The 25286-nt window shown below is 43.0% G+C and overlaps 1 protein-coding gene across 7 annotated transcripts in view, besides 2 other annotated features; it reads left to right on the forward strand.

Annotated features, from left to right (window-relative positions):
* Positions 2332-2832: an enhancer, noted in NCBI's record as "H3K4me1 hESC enhancer chr11:46946339-46946839 (GRCh37/hg19 assembly coordinates)". NCBI's record gives its function as "activates a minimal SCP1, AML or CMV promoter by ChIP-STARR-seq in primed H9 embryonic stem cells {active_cell/tissue: H9 hESC(primed)}" and the evidence as "EXISTENCE:reporter gene assay evidence [ECO:0000049][PMID:30033119]".
* Positions 14163-14372: an enhancer, noted in NCBI's record as "active region_4686". NCBI's record gives its function as "activates an Ori minimal core promoter by ATAC-STARR-seq in GM12878 lymphoblastoid cells {active_cell/tissue: GM12878}" and the evidence as "EXISTENCE:reporter gene assay evidence [ECO:0000049][PMID:35858748]".
* Positions 14233-25286, forward strand: part of CSTPP1 (centriolar satellite-associated tubulin polyglutamylase complex regulator 1) — a 227697-nt gene continuing 216643 nt past the window's right edge. For 6 of the 7 annotated variants that reach the window (NR_103471.2, NR_103472.2, NM_001003678.3 and 3 more), the window contains exon 1: positions 14305-14395. Coding sequence is in view for 5 of the 7 variants with exons in the window: in NM_001003678.3 (NP_001003678.1) it covers positions 14350-14395 (46 nt within the window). In the remaining 2 variants the exon portion in view is untranslated. Of the gene's footprint in view, positions 14396-25286 lie in introns of all 7 variants that reach the window. The other variant, NM_001278222.1, reaches the window with a different exon arrangement.

Below are 25286 nucleotides of genomic sequence, written 5' to 3' on the forward strand. Positions count from 1 at the left end.
TGGGCCCCAGGTTGGCCTGATCTCAGCTCACTGCAACCTCCGCCTCCTGGGTTCAAGGAATTCTTGTGCCTCAGCCTCTCCAGTAGGTGGGATTACAGGCATGTACCACCACACCTGGCTAATTTTTTTTTGTATTTTTAGTAGAGACAGGGTTTCACTATGTTGTCCATGCTGGTCTCCAGTGATCCGCTCACCTTGGCCTCCCAAAGTGCTGGGATGACAGGCGTGAACCACTGCGCCCGGCCAGTTCTTAAAACTTTAGAAGAGAAGGCACAGCTAAGGGGACTAATAGAATCCTATACCTATTTGCTTTAGAGAGGCTTAATTTCAGGATTCGCTTACTCAGTAACTACTTATAAAGGGTATATTATGCGCCAGGCACTCTGAGGCAATGATGAACAAATAAATATATTGGGTCCCTGGAACTTACAGTCTGATGGTTGAAGGGGGCTGCAAGTTTGCAGAAGCATTTAAAAAATGCTCCCACAAATGAATTTGAAGTTACAAATGTTAGAGGCTTTGAGGGAAAAGTACAGGGTTCTATGAAAGGAAAGACTGGACTTAGGTTTGGGGGTTCGAGGAAGGCCTGCCAGAGGCACTGACACCTAAGCTGAGTAAAAGCCATCAGGCTAGGAGTGGATGAGGCCTTCCAGGCAGAAGGAACAGTGTGTGCAAAGGCCTTGAGCCAGGAAAGACCTCATAGAATGTAAGGAAAAGTTTTACTAACTTTCAGCAACAGATTTGCTTTTATCTAGGTTCAGGGGGCTACTACTGAAGACCAGAAACAGTGAAAGCGTGAAAGCCTGAGAGAATAGTGTCATTTGCATTTCTGTGCTTTTTTAAATTGCAAACCCTCAAAACCTCCATTTCTTTTCTTTTTTTTCTTTTTTTGAGACAGAGCTTCACTCTGTTGCCAGGTTGGAGTGCAGTGGCGCGATCTTGGCTCACTGCAACCTCCACCTCCTGGGTTCAAGTGAGTCTCCTGCCTCAGTCGCCTGAGTAGCTGGGACTACAGGCAAGCACCACCACGCCCAACTAATTTTTGTATTTTTAGTAGAGACGGGGTTTCACCATGTTGGCCAGGATGGTCTCGATCTCTTGACCTTGTGATCCGCCCACCTCGGCCTCCCAGAGTGCTGGGATTATAGGCGTGAGCCTCCGCGCCTGGCCCACACCATCATTTCTAGTGCCAATATTTTTCATGTTCCAGCTCAGCAGTGGTTCTCCAGTCGGGATCTGGGGCATGTGGCTGATTCAGATCCCTGGCCTAACTTGGGGCACACCCTGATAGGTGGGGCTTTCTGGCCCATTTTCATCTCCTAGAAGCCTGATATTCACACACCGGGCACATATAGAGTCTCTGCAGCAAATAGCTCAGTATATCTTGCTTCTTTTAACAGTAAAGATATATTCAGAATGTTGGGGTAAACAGATCAATGAATAAATGCTCATTTGATAACAAATATGAATGAAGCATCTATGTAAATGGCCTCTCTGTTTTCACACTTGCCCCTTTATAATTTGTTCTCTGCACAGCAACCAGAGTGACTTTTTAAAAAATATAACTCATGGTCTGGCACAGTGGCTCATGCCTGTAATCCTACTACTTTGGGAGGCCAAGGTGGGAGGATTGGTGGAGTTCAAGACCAGCCTGGGCAACATGGTGAAACCTCATCTCTGCCAAAAAAAAAAATAATACAAAAAAATACAAAAAATTAGCCAGGCGCGGTGACATGTTCCTGTAGTCTCAGCTACTCAGGAAGCTGAGGTGGGAGAATCACCTGAGCCCAGGAAGTTGAGACTGCAGTGAGCCATGATCCTGCTACTGCACTCTAGCCTAGGTAACAGAGCAAAACCCTGTCTCAAAAAATAAAATTAAAATAAAAATAAAACTCAGATCATGGCTTAAAATTTTCCAATGCCTTCCTGTTGCACTTAGAATAAAATTCTTACTTCTCATGTGACTTTCAAGGTCCTCCATAACCTGACATCTGCTTACTTCTTTTTTTTTTTTTTTTTGAGACAAAGTCTTGCTCTGTTGCCAAGGCTGGAGTGCATTGGTGCGATCTTGGCTGACTGCAACCTCTGCCTCCCGAGTTCAAGCAATTCTCCTGCCTCAGGCTCCCGAGTACCACCATGCCCAGCTAATTTTTGTATTTTTAGTAGAGACAGGGCCTCGCCATGTTGGCCAGTGCTGGGATTACAGGCGTGAGCCACCGCGCCTGGCCCTGCTTATTTCATTGACCACTTTCCACGCTGGCTCCCTTTCAGTTCTGCAACTTGCCATTGTTTCTGTCCTACAACTTGTGCATGTGGTGTCTCCTCTACTTCAAATGCTGTTCCCCTAGGCCAGGTGCGGTGGCTCATGCCTATAATCCCAGCACGTTGGGAGGCCGAGGTGGGTGGATCACTTGAGGCCGGGAGTTCGAGACCAGCCTGGCCAACATGGTGAAACCCCGCCTCTACTAAAAACACAAAAATTAGCCAGGGGTGGTGATGTGCACCTATAATCCCAGCTACTTGGGAGGCTGAGGCAGTAGAATCACTTGAGCCCGGGAGACGGAGGTTGCAGTGAGCCCAGATCTTGCCACTGCCTCCAGCCTGGGCGACAGAGGGAGAGAGACTCTGTCTAAAAAAAAAAAAAAAAAAAAGAAGTCAAATGCTGTTCATCTAGACCCTTCCTGTGACTGGTCTCAGCTCAATATCACGACCTCAGAGAAGCCTCACCTTCAGAGATGTCTCACCTTATCACCCTAAAGTTGCCTCATTCTCACTTACTGCCTTTATCCTATTTTATTTTCTCCACAGGGTTTATCATTCTTTGAAATAATCTTGTTTGTTGTTGTGTATTTATATTTGTCTATCTGATCACTATTAGATGAACTCCAATGGAGCAGGGATTTTTTTTTTTTTTAATTCTCCAGCACCTATGAATAGTGCCTAACACATATTGCTCAATAAATTTTTGGTAAATGAATGAAAAGCAGACAGTCAGCTAGGGCCAGGGAAATACAAAGATGAATAAGATAAGGTCCATAGGGCCAGGTGTGGTGGCTCACGCCTGTAATCCCAGCAATTTGGGAGGCCAAACGGGGAGGATGACTTGAGGCCTGGAGTTTGAGACCAGCTTAGGCAAGAGAAGGAGACCCCATCTCTGCAAAAAAAAAAAAAAAAATAGCCAGATGTGGTGGTGCGTGTCTGTTGTTCCAGATACTCAGGAGGCTGAGATGGGAGGATGGCTTAAGCTGGGAGCATTGAGGCTGCAGTGAGCTGTGATCATGCCACTGCACTTCAGCCTGGGCAACAGAGGGAGACCCTGTCTCAAAAAAAAAAAAAAGAAAAGAAAAAGATAGGCTTCATAACTTTAAGAAGCTCAGAATCTAGAGGAGAGGAAGACTTCAAAAGCAATGATAGGGCAATAGATGTAATGTATAAAGGACTGCGGAAACAGAGAAGCGAGGACCTTTAAATTTGGAGTAGCTGGGCATTAAAGGTGGGGGAAATTTCACCAGGTAAGTAAAGGAAAAAATGAGGAGGGGGCACATATTCCAGATGGAAGAAATGGCATCAACAAAGGCATTTGCAAGTGGCTGCCATGTTTGGAAAATGATCAATACTCTTGTGTGGCTAGAAGAACATCGGGTGATTAAGGAAAGCAGAGAGGGGACCTCTTTTTTTTTTTTTTTTGAGACAGAGTCTTGCTTTGTCTCCCAGGCTGGAGTGCAGTGGCACAGTCTCAGCTCTCTGCAACCTCTGCTTCCCAGGTTCAAGCGATTCTCCTGCCTCAGCCTCCTGAGTAGCTAGAACTACAGGCATGCGCCACCACGCCCGGCTAATTTTTGTGTTTTTAGTAGAGATGGGGTTTCGCTATGTTGGCCAGGCTGGTCTCGAACTCCTGACCTCAAGCAATCTGCCCAAGAGAGGGGACCTCTCAATAACCAACTGTTACTGAAAATTGTTTCTGAATTAAATGCCCTTTATATTTTTTATATCTGTTTATTCAATGAGCAGTGACAGAGTTTCTATAAACTACAAGGGAGCGATTGTACTGTTTTTAAAATTCATCTTTCTATTCTTTTTATACCTTTGTCTCTAGACAAATGATACTTTTCCCAGGAGAGAGATGGGCTAGGTAGTAGGTTTACATCTGGTTTTACTTTTTTAAAATTATTTTTATTGTTTTAGAGATATGCTTTCACTATGTTGCCCGGGCTGGAGAGCAGGGGCTAGTCACAGGTGCAATAACAGCACACTATAGTCTTGAACTCCTGACCTCAAGTGATCCTCCTGCCTCAGTCTCCTGAGTAACTGGGACTATAGATGTGCATTAATGCACTTATTTTAAAAAACTGAAATCTAAAATCTCTGTCTCCTAAGAGACTTAAGAAAAGCTTAATAAATTAACTTAAATATTCTTAAGAAAATATTCCCCAAAGAGCAAAATAATTACAATGTCAGGACAGAGCCTAAATTCTATCTAGTTTAGGTTTATGCCTCTGACGGTGACTCTAAATGGATTTGTCAGGGTTGTCCTTTGATGTCCCCCTCAAAACAACAGTACCATAACATACTAGATTCTAGTTGCCCTTAAGGACTATATGGAACTATCATCAATGGATTTATCTAAACCCATTTTGAAGCTGTGTGGATATTCATTCTTTTTGATAAGTTCCTGTGTCCCCGCCCAAATCTCAACTTGAATTGTATCTCACAGAATTCCCACGTGTTGTGGGAGGGACCCAGGGGGGAGGTAATTGAGTCATGGGGGCTGGTCTTTCCCATGCTATTCTTGTGATAGTGAATAAGTCTCACGAGATCTAATGGGTTTATCAGGGGTTTCCGCTTTTGCTTCCTCCTCATTTTTCTCTTGCCGCCACCATGTAAGAAGTGCCTTTTGCCTCCTGCCACAATTCAGAGGCCTCCCCAGCCATGTGGAACTGTAAGTCCAATTAAACCTCTTTTTGTTCCCAGTTTCAGATATGTCTTTATCAGCAGCATGAAAACGAACTAATACAGTAAGTTGGTACCAGTAGAGTGGGGCATTGCTGAAAAGATACCAGAAAATGTGGAAGCGACTTTGGAACTGGGTAACAGGCAGAAGTTGGAACAGTTTGGAGGGCTCAGAAGAAGACAGGAAAATGTGGGAAAGTTTGGAACCTCCTAGAGACCTGTTGAATGGCTTTGACAAAAATGCTGATAGTGATGTGAACCATAAGCTTAGTCCAGGCTAAGGTGGTCTCAGATGCAGATGAGGAACTTGTTGGGAACTGGAGCAAAGATGACTCTTGTTATGTTTTAGCAAAGAGACTGGAGGCATTTTGCCCCTGCCTTAGAGATTTGTGGAACTTTGAACTTGAGAGATATGATTTAGGATATCTGGCAGAAGAAATTTCTAAGCAGCAAAGCATTTAACAGGTGACTTGGGTGTGTTAAAAGCATTCCATTTTAAAAGGGAAACAGAGCATAAAAGTTCAGAAAATTTGCAGCCTGACAATGAAGTAGAAAAGACAAACCCATTTTTTTAGGAGAAATTCAAGCCGGCTGCAGAAATTTGCATAAGTAGCAAAAAGCCTAATGTTAATCCCCAAGACCATGGGGCAAATGTCTCCAGGCCATGTCAGAGACCGTTATAGCAGCCCCTCCCATCACAGGCCCAGAGGCCCAGGAGGAAAAAGTGGTTTCGTTGGTTGGGCCCAGGGTCCCCATGCTGTGTGCAGTCTAGGGACTTGGTGCCCTGTGTCCCAGCTGCTCCAGCCGTGGCTGAAAGGGGCTAACATAGAGCTTGGGCTGTGGCTTCAGAGGGTGGAAGCCACAAGCCTTGGCAGCTTCCACATGGTGTTGAGCCTGTGGGTGCACAGAAGTGAAGAATTAAGGTTTGGGAACCTCTGCCTAGATTTCAGAAGATGTATGGAAATGCCTGGATGCCCAGGCAAGTTTGCTGCAGAAGCGGGGCCCTCATGGAAAACCTCTGCTAGGGCAGTGCAGGAGGAAAATGTGGGGTTGGAGCCCCCACACAGAGTCCCTACTGGGGCACTGCCTAGTGGAGCTGTGAGAAGAGTGCCACCGTTCTCCAGACCCCAGAATAGTAGATCCACTGGCAGCTTGCACTGTGTGCTTGGAAAAGCTGCAGACACTCAACACCGACCAATGAAAGCAGCCAGGAGGGAGGCTGTACCCTGCAAAGCCACAGGGGCAGAGCTGCCCAAGACCATGGGAACCCACCTTTGCATCAGCATGACCTGGATGTGAGACCTGCAGTCAAAGGAGATCATTTTGGAGCTTTAAAATTTGACTGCCCCACTGGATTTTGGACTTGCATGGATGCTGTAACTTGTTTTGGCCAATTTCTCCCATTTGGAATGGCTGTATTTACCCAATACCTGTACCCCCATTACATCCAGGAAATAACTAGCTTGGTTTCGATTTTATAAGTTCATAGGCAGAAGGGACTTGCCTTGTCTCAGATAAGACTTTGGACTGTGGACCTTTGGGTTAATGCTGAAATGAGTTAAGACTTTGGGGGACTGTTGGGAAGGCATGATTGGTTTTGAAATGTGAGGACATGAGATCTAGAGGGGCCAGAGGCAGAATGATATGGTTTGGCTGTGTCCCCACCCAAATCTCAACTTGAATTTTATCTCCCAGGATTCCCACGTGTTGTGGGAGGGACCCAGGGGGAGGTAATTGAATCATGGGGGCCGGTCTTTCCCATGCTATTCTCTTGATAGTGAATAAGTCTCACGAGATCTGATGGGTTTATCAGGGGTTTCTACTTTGCTTCCTCCTCATTTTCTTTTGCCACCACCAAGTAAGAAGTGCCTTTTGCCTCCTGCCATGATTGTGAGGCCTCCCCAGGCATGTGGAACTGTAAATCCAATTAAACCTCTTTTTGTTCCCAGTTTCAGGTTTGTCTTTATCAGCATCATGAAAATGAACAAATACAGACTTTTGACAAATACTTCTTCTGTCTTTCTGGGTAGTGGAAATATTATAACAGCAAATAAAACATGTTCCCTGGCTATGAACAATTTTTAGTCCAAGAGGAGTAATACCCAGGCAAACAAATAAGTAAAGAATATGATAAATGCTAAAATACAGCTACATATCAGGTGCTAACTGGCTCCTTGGGAAATTGGATAAGGTCTCATGGGTGTGGTGACATTAAACCTAGGTCGTTTTTGTTTTTGTTTTTGTTTGAGACAGGTGTGACTCTGTCACCCAGGATGGAGTGCAGTGGTACAATCACAGCTCACTGCAACCTCCACCTCCCCAGCTCAAACAATCCTCCTGCCTCAGCCTCCCGAGTAGCTGGGGCTACAGGTGCATGCCACCACACCTGGCTAATTTTTGTATTTTTGGCAGAGAAGGGGTTTTGCCATTTTGCCCAGTCTGGTCTTGAACTCCTAAGCTCAAGCCATCCATCTGCCTTGGCCTACCAAAGTGCTGGGATTACAGGCATGAGCCACTGCGCCTGGCCGTAACCTAGGTTTTAAAGGATGTGTAGTTTACTAAGCAGAAAATATAGTAGAGGTACATTCTAGACAGAAAGCTTACACCAAAGCAAAGGGTGTGAAAGAGCCCAATATGTTGGGGGATATCGAGTAGGAAAGCATGGCTGTATGTATAAATTTGTAGAGAAGACTGAGTGGCGAGATGGCTGGAAGAAGAGGTTAGTACCAAGCTGTGAAAGGATTTATATGTCTGCATGTGAAGTTTTGCTTCTTCCTAGTAATGGTGAGTCAGCAGCAACACCTTTTTTTTTTTTTAATGTAGATATGGTGTCTTGCTATGTTGATCAGACTGATCTCAAACTCCTGTCCTTAAGTGATCCCCCCACCTCAGCCTCCCAAAGTGCTGGGATTACAGGTGTGAGTCATTGTGCATTGCCTAGCAACACTTTTTAAATAAGGAAGTAACATGGTCAAATTTGAACTTCAGAATGACATACTCTTGTGACAATGTAGAGGATGATTTGGGGGAGAAAGAAAAAATAGACACAGAGACTCCAGCTTCTTGTCCTAAGCTTCTGAAATTTGGGAACTCCCAGTTCATATCTTAAATTTGATATCTAGCACATTCTCTCTCATCCTTCTGAACTAATTCTGTTATGTACACGAAGCATTCTCTCTAAACACTTTGTTGTTAGTTGCTTTTTTCCTGGGAATTTGTTTGTTTGAGACAGGGTCTCACTCTGTTACCCAGGCTGAAATGCAGTGGCATGATCATGGCTCACTGCAGCCTTGAACTCTTGGGCTCAAGTTATCCTCCCGTCTCAGCCACCCAAGTAGCTGGGACTTTAGGTGTGTGTCATCATACCTGGCTAGTTTTTATTTTAATTATTTATTTTTAAACATATTTTTTGTAGAGATGGGTCTCACTATGTTGTCCAGGCTGGTCTCAAATTCCTGGGCTAAAGCAATCCTCTTGCCTTGGCCTCTCAAAATCCTGGGACTATAGGCATGAGCCACCATGCCTAGTCTGGGCACTTTTTTTTTTTTTTTTTTGAGATGGAGTCTTGCTCTGTCGCCCAGGCTGGAGTGCAGTGGCACGATCTCAGCTCACTGCAGCCTCTGCCTCCCAGGTTCAAGCAATTCTTGTGCCTCAGCCTCCTAAGTAGCTGGGATTACAGGTGCGTGCCACCGTGTCCAGCTAATTTTTGTATTTTTAGTAGAGACAGGGTTTCACCATGTTGGCCAGGCTGGTCTCGAACTCCTGACCTCAGGTGATCTGCCCACCTCGGCCACCCAAAGTGCTGGGATTACAGGCGTGAGCCACTGCGCCCGGTCAGTCTGGGTATTTTATACATGGTTATTTAGGTGTAGGAAGCATTTGCCAGTGCTTTCTGATTGACTTTTAATGTCTTTCTCAATGATGCCTTTTGTTTTTCTGGCCGTTTTGGGGTTTTTGGTTTTGGTTTTTTTGTTTTTTTTTTTTTGAGATAGGGTCTCGCTCCAGGTTGGAGTGCAGTGGCATGATCACCCCAGGCTCAGCTGATCCTTTTGCCTCAGCCTCCTGAGCAGCTGGGATTAAAGGCATGAGCCACCACACTTGGCCACCTTTTTCTTTAATAAATATTTTTAATGAATTGATTGCCATGAGGCGCCCATAAATCCTATTGATTGGTAGGTCTTTGTTTTCTAAACTTCTAATCTAGAGGGAAACAAATTCATTTAACAGACGTTTATTGTATAACTGATTTCTGCAGGCACTGCACATGGTCCCAGAAATTTAAAGATGAATGAAGACTGTCTCTGCCCTCATGGAACTCACAATCTAGTAGGAAGAATTTTTTAAAAAGACATAAATGGTTATAAAAGTGCATACTAGCTGGGCGCGGTGGCTCACGCCTGTAATCCCAGCACTTTAGGAGGCTGAGGCGGGTGGATCACCTGAGGTCAGGAGTTCGAGAGCAGCCTGACCAAAATGGAGAAACCCCGTCTCTACTAAAAATACAAAATCAGCCAGGTGCAGTGCGCATGCCTGTAATCCCAGCTACTTGGGAGGCTGAGGCAGGAAAATCTCTTGAACCCGGGAGGTGGAGGTTGCAGTGAGCCGAGATCACGCCACTGCAGTCCAGCCTGGGTGAAAGAGCGAGTCTCTGTCTCAAAAAAACAAAACAAAACAAAACAAAACAAAACAAAACAAAACTGCATAGTCTAGGACAGAAGAAGGCATAACTAATTTTTGTGGGCTACCAAGAATCAGTAAATCATCCCCCCTTTCAAACTATATGAATGTGTAATTTGCAACTCTTATTGCAGCATTTGAAAACATAGAATAACAAGAAAGTACAGTCCATAATTACCTTTGAACTTCAGTTCAATTTACGCCATATCCCCTTAACTAGTTTCTTACAATGCATTAGTTATTCTTAACTGCCCAAGAGTTTGTGAACATTTCTTTTCTTTACAAATTACTCCAAAGCTCTGGTCCATTGGCTTGTGGCAGTACAAAATTACCTTCTATAAATAGCATTTTTAATTGAAACATATGAATCCCAGACAGTGGCATCACACTTAGTTTCTGCTGTGCTCTTGTGGAAGATAAGCCTTTCATGCAGAGCCTAGTAGCTCAGCATGAATTTCATGACCTGCATTTCTTAGTAGCTACTTTGCCTTTAGCATCTTTTCTGCTTGATCAGTTGATAAAAGCTTGTCCTAGTTTCTTGAACCTGTTTTATAGCAATAATTCAGCCTGCATTTATTCTTTCCTTATTGCTTCCTTGAAGTTTAAAACTGTTTAGTGTATTCACCGTTTGCTTTTCTATAGTCTTCAATTATAGGGAGGATTTTCTTCCCTATCAATCTCTTAATAGGTCTTCTGCAGAGCCAGAGATGTCTATTAATTTTCTCATTATAAAATCAGAAATTATAATCTGATAAATTGATGTCTCAGCTGGGTGCAGTGGCTCATGCACTTTGGGAGACTGAGGCAGGAGGATTGCTTGAGCTCAGGAATTCGAAACCAGCCTGGGCTACCTAGCAAGACCTTGTCTCTACAAAATTAAAAATATTATCTGGATGTGGTGGCATGCACCAGTGATCCCAGCTACTCAGGAGGCTGAGGTGGGAGGATTACTTGAGCCCAAGAATTCCAGGCTACAGTGAGTTGTGATTGTGCCATTGCACTCCAGCCTGGGTGACAAAGGGAGACCTTATATATACTAAAAAACAAAACAAACAAACAAACAAAAAACAAAAGGTGCAGTGGCTCACACCTGTAATCCCAGCACTTTGGGAGACTGAGGCGGGTGGATCACTTGAAGTCAGGGGTTCGAGACCAGCCTGGTCAACATGGCGAAACCCTGTCTCTACTGAAAATACAAAAATTAGCCGGGTGTGGTGGCACACACCTGTAGTCCCAACTACTCGGGAGGCTGAGGCAGGAGAATGGCTTGAACCTGGGACACAGAGGTTGCAGTAAGCAGAGATTGCACCATTCCACTCCTTTCTGGATGATGGAGTGAGCCTCTGTCTCAAAAAACAAACAAACAAAAACAAAAACCATCTCAATATATTCTCTCTCTTGTTTTTTTCTTATTGTTCTGAATTTGATGTTTACAGTCGTCATGCTGTAGTACTGCCTTTAACATCCGATGCTCTATTTATCATCAATATCTTATCACTTGCCTCTTTTCAGGATTATGGAGTTGTCTTCTGACTTACCGATTTACCTCGGTGATTTTTTTTTTTGGTAAATTTTTAAGAAATATATTATGATAAGTTAAGAACCTGAAAAGTCAATTTAAATCAAAGGCTGACATTTTTTTTCTTTCTTTCACATTCAAGTCACAAAAAATACACTTAATTTTAACAACTCTTATATATTTCTACTCTTCTTAAGACTGATGTAGTGTATGTTTCATTGAAAAATTTCACCAATAACCAATGTGTTTCAAAAATCTATTATCATGTAATCTGTGACAGAAGAGAAATCTAGCAGTGGCTTCTTTTTGGGAAAAACAAACACTGTCTGGAAGGTCATCACATCTGCTTAAAAAATTTTAAAGATTTTCAGGCCACTCATTTATTATTTGTTTTCAGGTTATAATACATGCCTATTATAGAAAGTTTAAGACTATAGAAAAATATAAAGAAGAAAAATGTAAACAGTCAGTAATTCCACTACCAGTAAGGCCACCTGTTATTTCGGTGAAACTTCAAATTTTTGTGAAGCCTTACTCTAGCAACCTCCTACTTTTCTAAGTCCTCCTCCTCAATAGACTGTTCAGGACATTCAGAGTGGAAGACTGACTTTGAATACAGGGGTCCTTCGGATTTTTATGGAAGGGATGGAACTGTAGGAAAAACCTACAAATTGCTCCAGAGATGACATCTTGTTCTTATTTAGCCTTCTTTGAGTCATTAACAGTCGGGCGCCACTGGTGCTGAAACTTATCATTATTATAACCACAAATGGGTTAATGCCCAAACAAAGCTATATTCTTGGGGCTGGTTCCCAGCTCCACCACACAGACCCCAGCAGCCAGCACCCGCCAAGTCCCAGGATAATGCTCCACAAATAAGACGATGTCAAATGTTCAGCCTGGACTCAACATTATCTTCTTCTATCTGGGAGCTTCCAGTTGCTAGCAGGGCAGAGCAAAAGGAAAAATAAATAAATAAAAGCCAGGTCAACAAACCCTAAAAAAAGAGACTGTGTGGTTTAGTGGTCAGACCACTGGCCTGGATGTTGGGATAGCTGAGATCCAGTTGTAGCTCTACCACTATGTGGCTGCATGATGCTAGACAAGTCACTAGACAAGTCACTGTTGTGACTTGTGCCTCAGTTTCCCTAGTTAGAAAATGGAAAAGTGCCTTAGAAAGGTTTTTTTTTTTTTTTTTTTTTTTTTTTTGAGACGGAGTCTCGCTGTGTCGCCCAGGCTGGAGTGCAGTGGTGCGATCTTGGCTCACTGCAACTTCTGCCTCCCCGGTTCAAGTGATTCTTCTGCCTCAGCCTCCTGAGTAGCTGGGATTACAGGCGTGCGCCACCACGCCTGGCTAATTTTTGTATTTTTAGTAGAGATGGGGTTTCTCCATATTGGCCAGGCTGGTCTCGAACTCCTGAACTCGTGATCCGCCCACCTCAGCAGAAAGTTTTTATGAGGACAAATAAGATTATTTGCAAATAGCTACAAGTTGCTTGGGAATAAAGTAAAATTATCACTTAATAATTACTATGGTATTACCTTATTAATAAAATAGTAAAAAGCCACAGTTATGGAACATATGAACCTCCCATAACCTCAAGCTAGATGGGGGAAGCAGATAAGAAGGCAATTAAAAAAAAATCAGATTTGCTGGACTTCACACCAAATACCAAATTAGTAAATTTGCCTCAAGACACTAAGCCCTGCTCCTACTTTGGCTCTGTCCTTTTAACCTCACCACATCCAAACTTAGAGTGACTCACAGGAGCCTAGAATTGAGACACATATACAATTTTAAGGGAAAGCAAGAATTAGGAGGTTTGAGGCTCCTTACTGGAGGACGCTAAGAATAGGCCACTCGGAACACAAAGAGAAGAACCTCCTCTTTCCTTTTCCTCCCAGTGTAGGTGGTCTACTGGTTTCCCAGTCATTCCTTTGATAGCTTGATTTTGTTTTCTTTGTCTCTTTTTCACAAACCTCACCTTGTTGGAGGGGGAGGGCACTAAAAAAGTGAGGACAGAGTGGCTTTTTCTGCTATGTCTGAACTGTGTCTAGTGCTACAGATCTCTGACCTGTTGTCAGGAGTGGAGAGGGGCGAAAAGAAATATTTAGGAACTTGAAAACCAGTGAATATTCTCTTAAAGAAGAAGTGAGCAATTGGGCATATAGGGAAAAAAATCTAACTGGTGTCCTCGTTTCTGCAGCCCCTCTCCCTCAAGAAGAGCAATGTCTTGGTAGGAAAAAGGAAAGACACCTGGGAAAGGTACCAAATAGTAAGGGCTAGGAATAGAAAGAAGAACCAAAGATAAAAAGGAATTGAGCCTGGGCGCGGTGGCTCACGCCTGTAATCCCAGCACTTTGGGAGGCCTGAGGCAGGCGGATCACCTGAGGTCGGCGGATCACCTGAGGTCAAGAGTTTGCAGACCAGCCTCGCCAACATGGTGAAACCCCATCTCTACTAAAAACACAAAAAATTAGCCAGGCGGAGTGGCGGGCGCCTGTAATCCCAGCTACTTGGGAGGCTGAGGCAGGAGAATCGCTTGAACCCGGGAGGCGCTGGTTGCAATGAACCGAGATCACGCTACTGCACTCCAGCCTGGGCGACTGAGTGAGAATTGAGAAGAAATGGCAATTAGTTCAGAGGACTTAATGAGTACCTTTTGTGTGTCCAGCCGTCATAGGCAGAAAAGACACATCTCTGACCTCTAGAAGCATCCAGGGTATATGCATACGTAAGCACTTTGTAGCAATTTAAGATAGTAAATACCAAAGAGATAAAAATAGCTAATGGGATACTAAGTGTTTATGGGGGCCAAAGGGCGGGGGCTATTACTGAGTTAGGATAAACAGTGTATAAAAGCAGGGATAGTTATGAAATTCAGAAACTGCGTATATGGGCGGCTGACAGTAATTCTTCGACACTGGGAAACATAACGGATTCAAAAGAATTCTTCATCTCAGATTCCTCTAAAACCAAGTCTTCAAGAATGGGAGTCCAAAGAAACCTGGACCATCGTGAAGCGACTGCCCCCGGAACTTGAGTGGCCAGCTCCACTTTGCGACACGGAGACTGTTTGTGTGACACCTCCTCCAGCTCCCGTCCCCCTTCCGCCGCGTGGGTGCCATGGCAACGGAGAGAGACGGCAACCTGGGTTCCGGAAGCCGGAGAGCTGGAGCTTTGAAGCCACCCCGGTCAAAGGATGCTGAGTCCGGAGCGCCTAGCCCTACCGGACTACGAGTATCTGGGTAGGAACCCCCTTTAACTTTGGGGAGGGAAAGACGTGCAGACGAATTAGGCCAGGGTCTGGGAGGAGGCGGGGGCGGGGTCTGAGTGGGATCGGGTCCGGGTGGTATGGGGAGGGGCGGAGAGGCGGGGGTTCCAGGGCCTGAGCCTGTAAGGCCGAGCAGGAAGGAAAAAAGCACCTGGGAAGTAAAGAATGTTTGAAGTGTAGGGGCTGGAACTCAGGCAATGTGGATTGTGTTCAAATGGGTCAGGTTGGCGTTGAGGATTTGGGGCCCTGTTGGGGTATTATTGATATGCTGGTAGTGGAGTAAGAATAACCTTGGAACCTCAAGTGCCAAATCAGTCAGCGAACATTTCGAGCTTTTCTTTTTCATTAGGCACTGTGCTAAGCATTTTTCATGCATCATTCTTCATTTGAATTTCTCAACAGCCCTAGGAGGAATTACCGTGTTTTCTTCCAGTTTTGCAGGTGGAGAAACTGGGGCTGAAGAGGTAACTTGCGTTAAGTTAGGCCACACAGCTAGAAAATGGTAGCGCTAGGATCAGAACCGGATTTGCCCACTCCAACAGAACTTGAGATATTGACTTGGCTCTTGAGCTAAGACTGTATATGTAGTACTTTGTTGAGCATCTTTAGTGTATAAGGCATTTAATGAATGAAAAAAGGCACACACACGCATAGATATGTACACACACACACATATGCACACAATACACATTTTATTTTATTTTATTTTTGAGACGGAGTCTAGCTCTGTCGCCCGGGCTGGAGTGCAGTGGCGCGATCTTGGCTCACTGCAAGCTCCGCCTCCCGGGTAGCTGGGACTACAGGCGCCCGCCACCTCGCCCGGCTACTTTTTTGTATACTTAATAGAGACGGGGTTTCACCGTGTTAACCAGGATGGTCTCGATCTCCTGACCTCGTGATCTGCCCGCCTCAGCCTCCAAAAGTGCTTGGATTACAGGCGTGAGCCACCGCGCCCGGCCACAATACACATTTTAAATAATTCATAGACTTTTATTTTTTTAAAGACGTTTTGTTTTGTTTTGTTTTGTTTTTTGAGACAGAGTTTCTCTCCTGTTGCCCAGGCTGGAGTACACTGCAACCTCTGCCTCCCGGATTCAAGCGATTCTCCTGCCTCAGCCTCCCGAGTAGTTGAGATTACAGGCATGCGCCACCACGCCAGGTTAATTTTATATTTTTAGTAGAGACGGGGTTTCACCATGTTGGTCAGGCTGGTCTCAAACTCCTGACCTCAGGTGATCCGCCCACCTCGGCCTCCCAAAGTGTTGGGATTACAGGCGTGAGCCACTGCACATGGCGAGAAGTTTTAAGTTTACAGAAAATTGAGCAGATAGTACGGCGAGTTCCCATATACCTTGGGTCTCCCTCACTCACAGTTTCCGCTATTATTTACATCTTGCATTAGTGTGGTACATTTGTTACAATGGATAAACATATATATTTATAATATATAATAATATATTATATATTATTATTATTATATAGATATATTATTATAGATACATATTATTAACTAAAGTCCATAGTTTACATTAGGGTTCTTTGTGTTGTTCAGTTCTGTGGGTTTTGATAAATGCATGTCATGTATTCACCATTCCATTATCATACAGAATAGTTTCACTGTCCTGAAAAATCCCCTGTGCTCCACCTATTGATCCTTCTCCCTCCCCCTGCAGCCCTTGCCAACCACTGATCTTATGGTCTCTAAAGTTTTGCCTTTTCCAGAATATCATGTAGTTGGAGTCATACAGTGTGTAAATTTTTCAGATGGGCTTCTTTAACTTAGCAGTAAGCATTTAAGTTTCCTCCATGTCTTTCTGTGGCATGATAACTCATTTCTTTTTATTTCTGAATAATATTCCATTGTATGGATGTACCATGCACATCTTTTTTTTTTTTCTTCTTCTTTTTTTTTTTTTTTGAGACAATGTCTGGCACTGTCACTCAGGCTGGAGTGCAGTGGCACTATCACGGCTCACTGCAGCCTCAACCTCCGGGCTCAAGTGATCCTGCTACCTCAGCCTTCCAAGTAGCTGGGACTACAGGCACATGCCACCATCCCTGGTTAATTTTTTAATTTTTTGTAGAGAAAGAGTCTCACTATGTTGTCCAGGTTGGTCTTGAACTCCAGGGCTCAAGCAAGCCTCTTACTGTGGCCTTCCAAAGTACTGAGATTACAGGTGTGAGTCACTGCACCTGGCTTACATCTTTTTTTTTTTTTTTTTTTTTTTTTGAGATGGAGTTTCACTCTTGTTGCCTAGGCTGGAGTGCAATGATGCGATCTGGGCTCACCCCAACCTCCGCCTCCTGGGTTCAAGTGATTCTCCTGCCTCAGCCTCCCTAGTACCTGGGATTACAGGCATGCGCCACCACGCCTGGCTAATTTTGTATTTTTAGTAGAGATGGGTTTCTCCATGTTGGTCAGGCTGGTCTCAAACTCCTGACCTCAGGTGATCCACCCACCTCGGCCTCCCAAACTGCTTGGATTACAGGCGTGAGCCACCGCGCCCAGCCAACATCTTTTTAAATGAAAAACAATTCTGGTTTACATTTTGTTTAACTTATTTTAAAAATTAATTTTAAAATATTTTTTAAGGTTGGTAATATGGAAACTTGATTCAAAGTATTTTTTAGGCCTGGCATGGTGGCTCATGCCTGTAATCCCAATACTTTGGGAGGCTGACGTAGGAGGATTGCTTGAGGTCAGGAGTTCAAGACCAGACTGGATGATAGAGTGAGACCCTGCCTCTAAAATGCATAGATAGATAGATAGATAGATAGATAGATAGATAGATAGATAGGTAGATGTTTTTAGTGAAAAGCCTACCCCTTTGCCTCCATCTGCCCAGTTTCCATCCATCCTCAGCCTCCCAAAAGTAACCACTATTATTGTTTTCCTGTGTATCTTTCCAGAGTTTATTATATACATAAAGGAGTATACAGTGCATACTTTTTCATTTAATACATCTTGAAGTAATTTCCGTTTCTTTTGTTTTTTCTTTTCTTTCTTTCTTGAGACAGAGTCTCACTCTGTCACCCAGGCTGGAGTGCAGTGGCACCATCTCGGCTCACTGCAACCTCCACTTCCTGGGTTCAAGCCATTCTCCTGCCCCAGCCTCTCAAGTAGCTGGAACTGCAGGCACGAGCCACCACACCTGGCTAAGTTTTTGTATTTTGGGTAGAGATAGGGTTTCTCCATGTTGCCCAGGCTGCTTTTGAACTTCCTGAGCTCAAGCGATCTGCCCACCTTGGCTTCCCAAAGTCCTGGGATTATAGGCGTGAGCCACTGCGCCTGGCCTCGAAGTAATTTCTCAGTCAGTAGGGAGCTTCTTCGTTCTTCATGAAATTCATTTTTAGCTATATAGTATTTAAATAATTTATTTAACCAGTCCCGCACTGGTAAACAAGTTGTTTTTAGCCTTTTGCTGTTACTAAGAATGCTGCAATGAATAACCTGCAGTTTTGTTCCTTTGCAAGTGTATCTGCAAGAATAAGTTCCACAAAGTGGAATTGGTGGATTAAGGGCATATGCATTGAAGTACTTATAGATATTGTCAGATTGCCCTTAATAGGTGTTGTACCATTTTGCCACCAGCAATGAAAGAGAATGCCTGTTTCCCCATTGTGCTGACAACAAAATACATCAAACTTGGATTTTTTTCAATCTAAGTGACAGATAGTCTGAGTAGATTTAATATGCATTTTTAAATGAAGTTGAGTGCCTTTTTACCAAGTTTAAGGGCTGATTGGTCTTTGAAAGCTATATATATACACATATATACATGAACATATATATAGACATATATATAGAGAGAGAGCTTAAGACAGTGACCACATCCATTAATCAGCTAAAAGGGGATATCACAGACAATTTTGTATCTAATGAATAACAGTATCAATGTCAAGCAATGCCTAGACTTTTTTCCAAAGATTTTATGTATTTTATTACCCAGTACTCAATGAATATATGAAATATTTGAAAAGGCTAGTTCATTGTTCAGTTCCTTGGGTGTTTGCTGTTTGAATTTTATGTCTCAAAGGCTTGGCAGATTTGGTGTATTGGTGCCTTGGTGAATAGAAGTTGGTGGTCTCTTCATAAATGGCGTTTTCAGGAAGGCCAATTCAGTGGCAGTGTTGAGAATGAATCTACAAACAGAATCAGAGTCTCAGGTTGGTTGAAAAAGCTTCAATGTTTGTGAAGCCCAACCAATCACCTAATAATTGAATCCTATACAAATGCTTCTTCATGCTTTGTTGCATATTTAAGTGTCTTAATTCCTTGTCCTAACCACTAACTAGACATTCATACTGCCCTCAGCATGGTCACACCCCTCACTGCCTTCTCCTGGTTCATCAAACCGTATCACTCTGCTGAAATGCGTTTGTCTTTAGTTGAGAACTATCCCTGCCTTTTACAATTTGTCTCTCTTAGAGGCATGCTGCTTTGACCTATTCACCCTCAATTTTTTTTTTCTTTTTTCTTGAGACGGAGTCTCGCTCTGTCACCCAGGCTGGAGTGCAATGATGTGATCTTGGCTCACTCCAACCTCCGCCTCCAGGGTTCAAGTGATTCTCGTGTCTCAGCCTCCCAAGTAGCTGGGATTACAGGCACCTGCCACCATGCCCAGCTAATTTTTGTATTTTTAGTAGAGACAGAGTTTCACCATGTTTGCCAGGCTGGTCTCGAACTCCTGACCTCAGGTGATCCACCCACCTTAGCCTCCCAAAGTGCTGGGATTACAGGTGTGAGCCACCACGCCTGGCCAACCTATTCACCCTCAATCTAATGACCGTTTAAAACCACTCCCTACAGAATAGATTAATAAAATATTTCCTGATTTAAATTTTTAAATACCTGTGATTTTTCCATTTGTTTTTATTTTTATACATTATAAAGTTACTTGTATGTGTAAGCCTAAAGAAGACTATACTTATAGAGAAAACAAAACTGCAGACTGGAAAGCCCTAGGCATTCAGTGAAACCCAAAAGCTAAAGTTGAGTTCCCCTTGGTTAGTGTATCTGGAGACCTCTCTTTAGGATTATGGTGTAAATTACAGGGATACCTATCCAAAGAATATCTAGAGATATCCCTTTCTCCCTGCTAGCTAGGGATTGTATTTACCTTTCTGACTATTAGTGAAGAAATCAATCTTTTATCATGTTGGGTAAACTGATCCTTTCCCCACTGACTTTGTAGATTAGGAACCTGTAATCATGGCCTTGCATGGCTTAAGATCTTAAGATCATCACTAAAGAATAGCTTAGTGATGTTCATGTCTGCAGTCATCAGAATGTAGTGATAAAAATTGTGTTAATGCCTAGGCCTGAAGAGAGAAAGGAGAGTCTGGTAAGGAGATGAAATAAGTATAGACCCTCTCTGTAGGACCCGCAAAAGGTTTCCAGCCTTATGAAACCTACTTAGTGGAAGCTTCTGCCAGAGGCTGAAGGTGTGTCTGTGTATCTGGTTGGGTGTGGCGAGCTCTCTAGAGCCAAAGGGCAGCCTGTTCTGGTCCCAGGTTTGCCAAACATACCACCTACGTGCTGACCTGAGTATAAGCATGAGGGCGTGAGGTTTATTTTTTACTCCACCTAATTTGGTGAGGTGCATGCTTTCACTCACGCTCCAAGTTGCCTCTTCTTTTCCATGGAACCTGCTTATTCTCACTACGGTTGATAGTGGGTTAGTATAATAGATAACTCTAGAAATCAAAGATGGCCTTTCTCCTTTGGGGACTAGACATTTAGAAGAATCACAATAAATTGGGTAGTTTTTTTTTTAAGCTATAGTTTTTGAACTCTTCCTATATGCCTGGCACTGTGGTTTATCTCATTTAATTTTCACAACTACCATATGAAGTGGGTACTCTTACTGGTCCCAATTAGTAGTTATTAATATCATCTTCTCATTTTATAAATAAGGAAGCTGAGGCTTAGAAAGGCTAATTGATTTGCACAAGGTCACACAGGCAATGATGCATAGTAAACAGGGGTTCATACCCAGGTTTGTCATATTCCACAGCTTGTGTTTTTTCCTCTTCACTAAAAAGATAAAAACAAACCAAAAAACCCCTATTGGTTCAAAGGGCAGTAATTCTTGCTTCCTTATTAAGGATGAGGCTCTTGCAAATAAATTTCTTGGGAACAAGAATTGTGTTTTACTCATCATTGTCAACCTTCTATCATTGTCTACCTTCTATCACTGTATACCTTCTATCATTGTATACTCTCCTACACTTAATTCATACGTATATGTGAAATGGAATATGAATAATCTGACCTTAGGGTACCCTAAACATGAGTAGCTAACAAAAGCAACCGAGACTTATTAAGAACTTACTCTGTACCAGGTACCATTTTAAATGCTTTACATATATTGATGTATATGAAGATAGTTTCAGTTGTTATCTCCATTCGGCAGATGAGGAAACTACACACAAAGATACCAAATAACAAGTTGTAAGTGGTGGATCCAGAATTCTAACCCAGCAGTCTAATTGAAGTCCACATGGTTAAACTCTATGCTATAAATACTTTGAGCAACTCCCAAAGTGGGGCTCCAACTATTGTGTAGACCTATACGTGGATCCTGGAGTAAGGTCAAGTGATTCCAGTGTCTTCATTTAACATTTCTGCCATGAGGAGGCATCCGAGGAATGAGGATGGATCAGGGAATGGTAAAATTTCCAATTTCTTCTTGCCACTGGACTCATCTCTCAGAGGCAGGCAGTGAGGAAGATAACTTCTACCATTTGGGAGAATTTTATTGACAATCATCTTTGTACTTTGGGTAGCTGTATGACCTAGAAGAAATCACTTAACCTCTCTGTGCCTTAGTTTCCACATCTCCAAAATGTGGGTGGTAATAGTACAGTCATGGTGGCTTACGCCTATATTCCCAGCACTGTGGGAGGCCAAGGAGGGAGGATTGCTTGAGCCCAGGAGTTTGAGACCAATGGGACATAGTGAGACTTCGTCTCTACTAAAAATAAAAAAAAAATAGCTGGGTGCAACAGCATGCATCTGTAGTCCCAGTTACTCAGGAGGCGGAGGTGGGAGGATGGCTTGAGCCCAGGAGGTCAAGGCTGCAGTGAGCTGTTTTCACACCACTGCACTCCAGCCTGGGTGACAAAGTGAGACCCTTTCTCAAAAAATTTAAAAAAGGCCAGGCATGGTGGCTCATGCCTATAATCCCAGCATTTTGGGAGGCCGAGGCGGGTGGATCACCTGAGGTCAGGAGTTCGAGACCAGCCTGGCCAAAATGGTGAAACCCCATCTCTACTAAAAATGCAAAAATTAGCAGAGCGTGGGGGTGTGTTCCTATAGTCCCAGCTACTCAGGAGGTTGAGACACGAGAATTGCTTGAACCCGGGAGGAGGAGGCTGCAGTGAGCTGAAATCTCACCACTGCACTCCAGCCTGGGTGACAGAGTGAGACTGCTTCTCAAAAAAAAAAAAAAAAAAATTGTGCTTGCCTCATACATGTAAGCATTTATCCTGTTAGAGCACCTGTGTAGGTGCTCAATAAATATTAGCTGCTAGTGTTATTACCATATTTTTGTGCAAATACGTAAACATCTGGTGGCAACCAGGAATGTGTGCCTCTCAGATCTCCTACACTGGGGAGGGGAGGGTAATTGACTCCTGACCCCAGCTCTGAATCTAACACCTTGTTCACACTGAGGTCACACTTTCCACAGACTGCTCCTAGTCAATGACTGGGCAGGACAGACCCACTTCCATGAGATGTTTTACTCCTCTAGTGGGTGACTTTGGCTTAAAGACTCTCACTGCACACTGCTAAGTCCCTCATTCTCCCTTCTCCCTCCTAAAGGAGGGATAATAATTAGGGTCCCTCCTAAAGGAGGGATAATAAATTAGGGTCACACCTGCATTTGATCTCTTAGCTCTCCCAGACTCCTCCGGCTTCCTTCCCATTTTCTATCATGGGCGTTTCCCCCAGTACATCTCTCGCATGTCTGATCCTGTTTTGGTGTCTGTTTCTCACAGTATCTGAGCTAAGACAACATCTAACAGTTACTGATATAGTCTCTTCCAGCCATGAGGTTAATACAACTTCTTTAGGACTTGGCAAAGGTTCTGACATAGGACCCCTTCTATGTGGAAGATAAGTGTTACTAATCTTAATTTTTTTTGTATTTGCTGATACCACAGCATATGATAGTTACTTGTCTGACTTCCAGACACATTCTATTTTTTGATTTTGAATGAATCCTGATAAACTTATTTTTATTTGAATATAACTAGTGAGCCTTCCAAACCCAATTCTATTCTAGGAAATATTGCTGTTTACAGTAAGTTAGCAGAAATTCTCTTAGGGCCTTAAAGTGTTTGGTTGCTGCAGAAAGGAAATGAAATAAAATAGGTGTTAAACTGACTTCCTAAATCTTTGGAAACTAGGTTTATAATACATAAAACTGGTCACTTTGAAATGATTATGGGCCAGGTGCGGTGGCTCATGCCTGTAATCCCAGCATTTTGGAAGGCTGAGGCGGGCAGATCACTTGAGGTCAGGAGTTCGAGACCAGCTTGGCCAACATGGTGAAACCCTGTCTCTACTAAAAATATGAAAAATAGCTGGGCATGGTGGTGCGCACCTGGAGTCCCAGCTACTTGGGAGGCTGAGGCATGAGAATCGCTTGAACCCGGGAGGCAGAGGTTGCAGTCCACTGAGATCACGCCAGTGCACTCCAGCCTGGGCGACAGAGCAAGACTCTGTCTCAAAATAATAATAATAAATAAATAAAATAATTATGAACATGTTCACAAAGTCACCTCTTTCTTTCCTTTTCCTCCCCCTACCCTTCTCCTTCCTTTTCTTCCTCCCTGAATACCTTCTCTATATAAAGCCAGGCATGAATATATGAATATAAAGCATCCCTCCCCACAGGAAACTTACACAGTAGATGGGAGATGGGACATATTCATAAATGACCATAACATAAAAAGACAGTATAATAAGTAAAGAGTATGTGACCTATATGGTTCTAGAGCCAGCAGCTATCTTGGCCTTTTCTCAGTTTGGTCAGCAGCTTCTCAGTCATGGAAGGGACAGCAGTTCCCTTGGTAGCCTAGTTCTGGAATGGGCCTTTTGGGAGTTGTTCCTGGAAGGTCGATCTAGATTTTTTTCCTTTTCCAAAGATTCTGTAACCTATTTAATACATGTAATAAATAAATATCTTTTTGTTGGGGGGAAAAAAGAGCCAGTAAGTTCTAAGCCATGTTGTTCCCAACCCTTGCCTACCTCCATTTCTCCAAAGTAAATTGCAGAGTGATGTCAGTGTTATTCTGGGGTTTTAAGATAGCTTTAAAATTTTTGACTTTGTTTATCATTTATATATTCAAGTAATGTTAAAATCTTTATTCCAAATGCTATTCAGAAGTTGGGGATCACTTTTATTTGCACAAATGCAATATGTGCTAAATGAATAATTCTAGGAGGCCGAGTAGATAAATTGAAGTTTTAAAAATAATAGTAGAGCAGGCCGGGAGCAGTGGCTCAACGCCTGTAATCCCAGCACTTTGGGAGGCCAAGGCGGGTGGATCACGAGGTCAGGAGATCGAGACCATCCTGGCTAACACGGTGAAACCCTGTCTCTACTAAAAATACAAAAAATTAGCCGGGCGTGGTGGCAGGCGCCTGTAGTCCCAGCTACTCGCGAGGCTGAGGCAGGAGAATGGTGTGAACCCGGGAGGCGGAGCTTGCAGTGAGCCGAGATTGCACCACGGCACTCCAGCCTGGGCGACAGAGCGAGACTCCATCTCAAAAATAAGTAAATAAATAAAAATAATAGTAGAGCAGAAGAGACATGATCCATTATCCTATTTCTGGTTCATCATCCTATTTATGTCCTTCATAGCACTTATCAGAGTTATCTTGTGTACCTACTTGTATACTTGGTTATTGTCTGTTTCTTATTAGAATGTGAGCCATGAGGGCAGGCCTTTTCTCTCTAAAATCTAGCACAATGCTTGGCCCAAATGAAGTGCTCAGTTGTTGAATGAATGGTCTACTTTAAGTAACAGAATAAATTTTAAAATAAATGGGAGAAAGGAATCCAGTTCAACAAATAGTTACTGAATTCCTAACATGTGAGAGAAACTATGTTTTTCCCCCCTTCCATGAATGAAAAAGGATGATTAAATCTGCTCTGGATCTTTTCGGTTTTAACTCTGATTTATACCTAAAGTTAATTTCTTGGTTGATACCATAGTTTCTGTGTTTGGGTTACATAACATTAAAATTTAATCCATTTTGTAAAACCAATATTTTAAAAAGGAAGGAGATTTTCTACAATTTTGGAGCATCTCAATGAGATCCTGTCCTTTAGTTGGACAGAGTGATATGCTTTGATTAAGACTGGAATTACCCTTGTAAACTAATCTCTGGGTCCTCTTTCTGTGTTGGGATCACCCTTACACTACTTCCCTAGGGGCCTTAGGAAATAGCTCATTCTATGATTGGAATTTCAAGTCAAAACACATTTATCTGAGCAGAATTTTAATGATTTATCAAAGAGAGGAGGGATTTTCCCAAACACAACTGAACTTACAAATTACTGATCCCACTAGCTATGTTTTTTCTTAAGCACCTTTCTTTAAACAAAGCAATTACTGCTGAAATCATCAAATGTATTTTTTTCATGGAAAGCTTTTGACTAAGTTTTGTTTGATTAGCAGGAACCTACTAAAAGTAAATATTGTTTGAGACAGCACTTTCAGAGCCTGTTCTTTTTCTTCATTCAATTAGCTTTTAAAGCACTATTCTTTGGAGAAAGTAAGAGCCTTTTTTCCAGCTGTCCTATTGTGTAACTCAAGGTCTCGTTAATACTATTATCTAGCCCCGAGAT

The sequence above is a fragment of the Homo sapiens genome, chromosome 11, assembly GCF_000001405.40.
Source record: "Homo sapiens chromosome 11, GRCh38.p14 Primary Assembly".
NCBI lineage: Eukaryota > Metazoa > Chordata > Mammalia > Primates > Hominidae > Homo > Homo sapiens.